This window comes from Homo sapiens, chromosome 1, assembly GCF_000001405.40.
Source record: "Homo sapiens chromosome 1, GRCh38.p14 Primary Assembly".
Classification (NCBI taxonomy): domain Eukaryota; kingdom Metazoa; phylum Chordata; class Mammalia; order Primates; family Hominidae; genus Homo; species Homo sapiens.
The window spans coordinates 175,262,703-175,271,374 of record NC_000001.11 but is presented as its reverse complement, the minus strand read 5'-3'; the positions used below and the strand labels follow the sequence as shown (position 1 = coordinate 175,271,374).

The following is an 8,672-nucleotide window of genomic DNA, read 5'->3' as shown; positions in this document are numbered from 1 at the left end:
GGATCTTCAGAGAAATGACCAACTTTCTCTACACAAAGTCAAATCAGACATAGAAAAGGGGACATGTGCCCTTACAGTGCCTTCTTCCCCATTTGCCACTGCTCTAAGCAGACAAAAATTTCCCTTTGGAAGTTGATAAGAGGCTCCACTACAAGTAGTACTAGCAGGGCTAGGGTCCTCAGGGAGTAGCAGGTATAGACTAGGATTAGACAGGTAGGGAGGAGGGGACAAAGGAGTCTCAACAGGACTTCCAGAGAGGCTAGAAGAAGAGGCCAATAGACCTGAAGCATCAGAGCTGACATGTTCCACACAAAAGTACCTGTTGAACTGGTTGGCGGGGGCGGGGAGGGGGGTGGTCTTGCATCAAGTGATCATCTAGTATGTCTAATTCTTTTTCTTCCTTTCCTTTCATTAAACATGCACATACCTATTGCAGAGTTTTATTTTGACTGGGCAATAAAAATGCTTGAACGTATTGGTTTTATCCCATTTGCCCTCACACTTACAAAACAAATCAAGTGGAAGTATAGTATTAAAGGCCATAGTTCTGGTAGTTGACCATTTTTCTTATTTTTCCAAGTATAGTAATTTGAGGCCAGACAGTATTATATGAAACCACCAACTTTCTTTTCTTAAGTCCATTTGGTTTAAACTTGTCCCAATGTTCAAGAATACATCCTAGTGGTGAGTCCTCTGGGATCCATGCTGTATTCCCCATAAAGGAGGCAGATGACGTTGAAAGAAAACTTCCAAACCCGTGAGACTGTATTGCCATTGGCCAAGTTCCATCAAAAAGGAGACAGTTCTTAAGGCACGCTGCATTATGACGGAAAACCTGCTGAAAATTGAATTCCCTTATTTATATTGGCCAGATAATATAAACAGGCTGAGCCATGGGCCCTAGATAAACCATGATATGGAAGCTGACAAAAGAAATGTCAAATAAGGCAAAGGAAATGAGAAGGATTTAGGTGCGGATGACCAGAGAGAGCAGGTTCCGGGCAATAGTGGCAGCATGAGTTGGACAAACAAAGCCAATTTGCCTGAATCCAAGAAATGAAAGAAGCTTTGTTAGTGTACAAATGAAACAAAACAGCAAGGAAAATCCCCTGATTTCCATCCTGGTACTCAAAATCCCAAGACCAGTTAAATGAGGTCTCCTGAAAGTGGCCATGAAACAAAGGCAGCAACCAGGGAATTGATTCAGGAAGCAAAGAGGACAAGGTGAATTAATCCAAAGTTAATAGTGATAAACATCCTGTAGAGTCAGATCTATTTTTAACCAAGAGGGGGCTTACCAAGGGGCATCTCTAATGCCCTATGTCTTAGGAGGGACTCTAACCCCCCTAAGTTGGGCCTTTAACCCAAGTTTGGACAACTATCCTTGCTCTTTACCAAGAGGAGTCTTTAAGCCCCTATGTTTTAGGTGGAGCTCCAACCCTTCCAGGTTGGGTCTCTAACCCAATTTCATTCTTTACCTGGTATAGAATATACCCCCACCACTTACCCAAAGTTGGCCAATTGGTGTTGCAGTTTATTTCCTTTGGGTCAGGGGTCTCTTCATTAGTCCCTTTGTGGTTCACCAGGAGGAAGTTACCAGAAAGTTGTCCCCATCAAGACCCCAAGAGAGGGTTCTTGGATCTTGTGCAGGAAAGAATTCAGACCAAGTCCACAGAGGAAAGTGAATACGTGTTTATTTTAAAAACTAAGGGAATGTAAGAATAGCTACTCCATAGACAGAGCAGGGTGTTCCTGAAAGTAAGCACAGGAATGCACCCACCTTAGGTATAATACTTGTTTGTATATAAAGACAAATCATGGGAGAGATGTGCTCTGCCACAAGGATTTGGGATAAAGTATTGCTAATCTTTGTGTAACTACTATCTTTCACAAGAGTCTATATTATTATCTTTAAAGCAAAACTTGTTCTTAAACTAGGAATGCTTTTGTTCTCAAGATATCAGGACATCAGGACATTGCCTGGATCTGTTTCTGTTCCCTTAACTGTAAATACCTTGTGACTAAGATACCTAGCCTCCTGGGAATGTGGCCCAGCAAGTCTCAAACTCATTTTCCCACCCCTATTCAAGATGGAGTTGCTCTGCTTCAAACGCCTCTGACAAGCTGAGTGATTAAGGCAGAAAGGAAATTATTGAAGGATATTGTGTTACTCATGGAAGTTCCAGGAGTGTCAGAATCATCTTAAATGCCACCCACCCAAGAAAAACGTTCAAAATTCCCTCATATAACTGATTCTGTGAAGGCACAACTGTTGCTTTTACCAGGCACAGACTCAACTGCTTGTCCCACTGGCAACACTGATGCTGGACATTGGCCCCTGCTGGCTGCTGGAACCATTACCATGAGCCCTGGAAACTGGATCTAGCCACCACAGACACCATTAACTTCACCAAGATAGCTTCCTGGTGGCCCTGGCTCTTTGGATTCCTACCTTCTAAGTTACAATCTGCCTTGGATGGAACTCATGAATCATCATGTATCTTGAGTCATATGCCTATAATCTATCTAGAAGGAAGGTTAGAATGGTATGTAAGTTCTACTGAGTGAAGAGGACTCTGCTCTCTGCCAAAAAGGAGAATGTCTCAAGATAAAAGGAGAAGAGTTGAGTAGTCAGCCAAAAAGAATGACAAATGTCCAGTTTCCCAAAATATTTTTTATCCTCCCCAACTTCCTTACTTCATATTCAGTTAGACTTTGCTCTCTCAACCTCCTACAACACATACATTCCACCTCCTCTGTCTAGTACAAATGTTAAGGCAAAATGAATTTTCAGAAACTAATCTACAAATAGCTGAGACTCTCCAGCAAACATTATAATAACATGTTATTTAATGAGCCAAGCTGCCTCAAACCTGTGGAGCTACCACTGCTGGCAATGGCTCAGGTTTGAAAGTTACAATCAAAACTTCACGTGTTTTTTTGGTTTTGTATGCCCACTTCACCACCCTTGCCCCAAGTAACCCTTCTAGGCATTAATATACATGTTTACATTTTTAAAGATAATTTTATTAGTTTTCTCACACTTAAATTAAAAATATGCCTCCTATCCTAACCTCCCCCCACCCCTACACACAGCTGGCTAGGTCAGTGTTGTGAAATTAGGCAACACTTTCTTCAAGAAATTCTTGGGATTCCTTGAGCATGTTTTAGGGAGCATCTTAACTGCCCAGAAATATTAAAGGACTCTAAAGTGGCTACCCAATAACAGCCCTGCTATGCCTAATGGCCAAGAACAAAACAAACATATAAGTGAGCTTAGTGGTAGAATAGGTCTGGGATTTGGAGGAGTGAATGTTCCAGGGGAGTGTGATGTGGAGTCTGACATCACCCAACCAAACTCCTCTTAGCTGAGCTGTCCACTCTGGGAAGGCATGGGCTGTAGGGCAAAGGAGAGACTGTGTCACTGAAGTTCAACAGCTGTGCTCTGCAAAACACTCCAGAAAGAGCTGATTAGCAGAGAAAGGCATTCCCCCATGGACGCAGAGGGAGAAGCATCCTAAAGCCATCAGGCCAGCTGGAAGAATACACAGCATCCCTGGCTGACCAATGGCTGTGGAAGTCAGAGCTGCTGGCAGAGGCTCTGCTGACAACTGTGAGAAACTGCTGGCCCCCCACAGATCCCAACCTAGCATAACCCCAGGAAACCAAGGGAACATTTGAGATGCACAAACATCTGTGAGAGCAGCCCCAGAAATATTTAGGAAGAGAAACTCCTGGAAGCAAAGGGATCTCTGCCTGTCAAGGATGTTTAGGCTCTGAGCATTGATATTTGGAGTATTACTGTAAATCTGATTTGACTTCATAGCCAAAGATAAGTAAGATCTGGGTCTTTCAGTTACAAGTGTTGAGGTTCCTTGTTTAAATTTTGATACACTCTTTGAGCACCCAGCAGCTCAGGAGTATCACCTTACCCATGCACCCCAGTTTATAATTCCTTTGTAGGAAGTATGCTATTTTGTAATACATATTTGGTCTTCATCCTATTTCCTGACATTCATCTCCTAAAACCCTTGGAAATCTCTGGTGTGATGAGTGTCTTTTGTATGCTGAGATGCCTGGTAGATGGGGGCACCTTGAGAGCTTCAGGATGGGGGTTAGTCACCCGAAAGACCATGGCCTAATTAGAAAGTTGGGTCCCCCTAATCTCTGGGAAGAGGAGGGAACACTGAAGGTTGAATTGGTGACCAATGGCCAATGATCTAATCAATCATGCCTACTTAATGAAACCTACATAAAAATCCAAAAGGACTGGTTTCAGAAATCTTCAGGATAGCTGAACACATGAAGCTTCTTGGAGGGTGGCACACCAAGAGACGGCCTGGGAGCAATGTTCAGTGCCCCTTCTTCTAAACTTTGCCCTGTGCATCTCTCTACTAGCTGTTTTTCTGTATCCCTTGTAATACTCTTTATAATAAATGGGTAACATAAGTAAAGTGTTTCCTTGAGTTCTGTGAGCCACTCTACCAACTCAAAGAGGGGATTATGGGAATCCCCATTGATAGCCAGGTGATTAGAAGCACAGACCATGCTAGTATCTCAAGGGTGGGGGCAGTCTTGTGGGACTGAGCCCTCAACCTGTGAGATCTGACGCTATCTCCAGGTAGATAATCAGAATTTAGTTAAACTGTAGGACACCCACCTGGGTTCTACTGGACAATCTACTACAGAATTGCTTCGTTGTATGTGCGGAGAAATCCCCACACATTTTGATAAACAGAGGTGCTGTGTTGTATTAAATGTGAGAGTGGACAGTAGGAAAAACAGTTTGTTTGTTTGTTTGTTTGCTATCCTTTGAAGAGGGAGCTTTATAACAAACTCCAAAAACAAGCTTCAGATGGAGCCTCCAATTCACCCTCTATTTGCATATGAGGCACAGCTACACAATTTGAAAGCAGTCCTGTAGGTTGAGAGTTCACAACCCATACCACTTTGGAAAAACTGAGGTAACACTTAGATCAGATGGGGGACAACGTCAAGGCAAAACCATTAATACACTTCATAGGAGACCCCACCCCACTTTAGTCCTCCTGTGTATGGCTGATTTGGATAGAAGACCCTCCAGAAGAAGAAGGTCCTCTAGTCCTTTTTACCTTGTACCAGTGCTACTTGGGCTCATGAACCATCCCTTTGCTATAAACTTCTTGAGAGCATGATTCATATTTGCTCCATGTTTTATCTCTATAACTCCTAGGATACTGTAAATAAAATAGTCTTCCCTTCTCTGCAGTTTTGCTTTCCATGACTTTAGTATTACCTATGATCTGAAAATATTAAATGGAAAATCCCAGAAAATGACAATTCATAAGTTTTAAATCACGTGGCGTTCTGAGTAGAGGGATGGAATCTAGCCCTGTCTCCCTCCATCCCACCCAGGACATGAGTCCTCCCTTTGTCCAGTGTATCTACACTGTATATAGTACCTGACCATTAGTCCACTTAGTAGCCGTCTCAGTGATAAGATTAGCTATCTCAGTATCACAGTGCTTGTGTTTAGGTCATTCTTATTTTACTTATAATGGCCCCAAAGTGCAAGAGTAGTGATGCTGTCATATTGTTATAATTGTCCTATTTTATTATTGTTGTTGTTAATCTCTTACTGTGACTAATTTATAAATTTAACTTTATCATAGGCATGCATGTACAGGAAAATAAACATTGTATATATAAAAGTCTGTTCTATCCACAGTTTTAGGCATCCATTGGGAGCTTTGGGACTTATCCCTGGTGGATAAAGGGGAGACTACTGTATTTGAATAAATGAATAAATGATAAATAATGACAGATATTTGGAGTAGTAAGGTCATACCACCTGAAGTTTCAGTGACAGATGAATAGCACCTGTTCTATTACAGGGAAGCTCTTACTTTTCTAGCAGTAGTTCTTGGCCCATGTTGAGAGATTACTTAAACAACAAGGTAATACAACACACTCTTCCCCTGGTCAGTTTAGGACTCATCCCATGTCAGCTTTCACAAAAAAGAAAAAAAAACATAAAAATAACAATCTAAAGAATGCAATAATAAGATTGGCCAGGGTCCCTGAATCCCTAGAAATGTTCTCATAAAGTTGTTGTGGAAACCCAATGTTGTGTGTCTAAGTGGTCTCCTGGGTGAAAACACGGTTCCCTCCTAGATGTGACTTGGAATATGAATGAAATGTTAGCTTTGGTTCAGAGATGGGCATTAAGAAACAGCTAGTTTCGGCTGACTGATTGCTGGGTTCCAAGTACACTGAAATCTGGCTTCTGAATACCACCTACTCCAGTGAACTGCTTCAACTAAGGTCACTCACAACTTCCTTATAGGTAAAAATCAATAGCCCCCTTATAGTCCTTACTTCATGTAACTTCTCTGCATCTGTTGGCGCCTCCTATGTACCTTCTCTTTCAAAATCCCTTCTGTATCTTCTAGATGCCATGTTCTCGAGTATTTCTTATTACTCCTTAGTCTCTTTGTAGTTGCTTCTTGCCCTGCCCATCTCTAAACTGTTAGTGTCCCCTAGCAGTTATCCTTGGCCCTCTTCCAGTTTCATCTACTCCCCAGACAAGACAGACAATGAGTTCAAATCTCTATTTCCCACAGTACCGATCAGCCCTTCTCAGTTGCTTTTGCAAGGACATTAAGCTCTAGTGCCCTTAGGTATGACTTGTATATCATTAATGGACTTCTCTCCTATGTATTTAGAATGTGAGTAGTTATCAATCATTCTGGGAAATAATTGAGAAAAATAGTCATGCAAATAATTTTATGTAGGACTTAATTCCTTCCAAGAACCCTTCTTCAAGCTGATTGGCACTGGACCCATAAAGCCAACTGCCTAGCAGACATCTCCACTTGGTTGTTTCACAGATATCTCAAAACCCCCAATTCAACAATACATCTTATTACAGCCCTCATAATTCCTCTCCCCTGTGTTACCTATCTTGATAAAGACCATCACTATATTACTACTTCCTGATTTTTCCATTATTAGATGTAACCTATTGATTTTCTACTGTAGAAGATGAGGATAGGATGTTCTCTCTCACATACATCCCTGTTTCCAGCATACACTTTCCATCCCTCCACCCTACTTGTAATTTAGAATTTTGGTAGCATAAATATTACTTGCTTATATTATGATGACTATGTAAACATGTTTTGTAACTGAGCCATGTAATGTACTATAATGACTTTTCCTTTCTTGCAAAACTTTCTGGTTTCCTTGAAGTTAGTTGTCTTTTGTTTATTTGCTTAGATTTTTATGAATGCACCTTTAGTTTTTTCTGTATACTTACCAGTAATTCAGCTGATTGAAAGCTCTATGTCTAGGGGTAGACTCATGGTCTTCATTCACATTTCCACCAATTGTATAATCCCTCTTGGTATATTAGGTATCCTATCAATTTTCTATCAATTTCTGTTTCTTGAGGAAACCATCCTGAAGCCTTCTAACCAGCTCCATCCTGAGCTTCCAGCTGTCCAACTATATTACAAGACTGTTCATCTTGTTAAGTCTGCTCACCATCATTATGGGGATGCCACTCAACTCTCTCTGTTGTTTGATCCTTTGTTTCCTGGATTGCACAGTTTTCTCTTACATGGTATTACTCCCTCATTTTGGTGGATCACACCCTCCACTAGCTTCCTAATAAAAGATGTATGTTAGCAGATTTTTAAAATGTTTCATGTCTCAAAACGTCTTTAATTTACCCTAAGTAGGAATTTGGGTGGTATAGAGTTTTAAGTTGTATTGCTGTCCCTCCATATTTTGGAGGCATCATTCCATTACCTTCCAGTTTTCAATGCTGATAAGGAGAAGTCTGATGTAATTCTGAATCTTGATCCTTTGTATGACATCTTTTCCCCCATCTCAAAAATTGTAGATTTTCATTTTTTATTTGTGTTATTCTGAAATTGCACAGTGATGACCCTCTGTGTGATTTTATTTTCATTCATTGTACAGAACTCTGGTACTCATGTCTTTTGGTTCTAAGAAATTTTCTGATTTAATTATTGATACTTTCTTTCTCTTCAATGTACCTTTTCTCTCTGTCTGGAAATTTTTATTTGGATGACGGACAGTTTTTAAAATCTTTTCTCTCCTATTTCCTTTTGCTTTTATATTCTTCTTTCTGGGAGAGTTCATTAACCTTATATTCCAAAGCTTCTACTGAAATTTTTATTTCTACTTTTACATCTTTAATTTCCAAGAGCTCTCTTTTTGTTCTCTGGGTGTTATTTTTATAGCATCATATTCCTGTTTCTTTGAGGCAGTACCCTCTTTTGCCTTCCTATGGATATTAATTACAGTATATTATTTAGGTTTTTTCTTCCTTTGTTCTCTACCTTGTCTAAGCTGCTTATTTCTGTTTGTTTTTATCTCTGTCTTTTATATTTTAGCTTTTCTCAGCCAATCCTTGGTGCTCGAAGAAGTTGATTGGAAACTCTCAGTCTGTGGATGAACTTGTAATCTTCATTGTTGGTATCTCACTGGGCTCCCTGGTAAAGCCCTGATGTTGTAACTTTGGATCATTTTTCTTGGGTTAGTCATACTTCCAGAGAAGGCTTTTTTAATCTCCTTCTCTAGTATAAAGATGACTATTAAAATTCTAAGAGCCTGTTAGGAGATGAAGACTTAGGGTGTTTCAGTTTCAATGTGTAAACTTTTGC

The 8,672-nt window shown here is 40.4% G+C and overlaps 1 annotated feature.

Moving 5' to 3' along the window:
• Positions 1,238 to 2,437: an enhancer, noted in NCBI's record as "MED14-independent group 3 enhancer chr1:175238074-175239273 (GRCh37/hg19 assembly coordinates)". NCBI's record gives its function as "activates an origin of replication core promoter dependent on BRD2, BRD4, P300/CBP and CDK7 cofactors, and independent of MED14, by STARR-seq in HCT116 cells {active_cell/tissue: HCT116}" and the evidence as "EXISTENCE:reporter gene assay evidence [ECO:0000049][PMID:35650434]".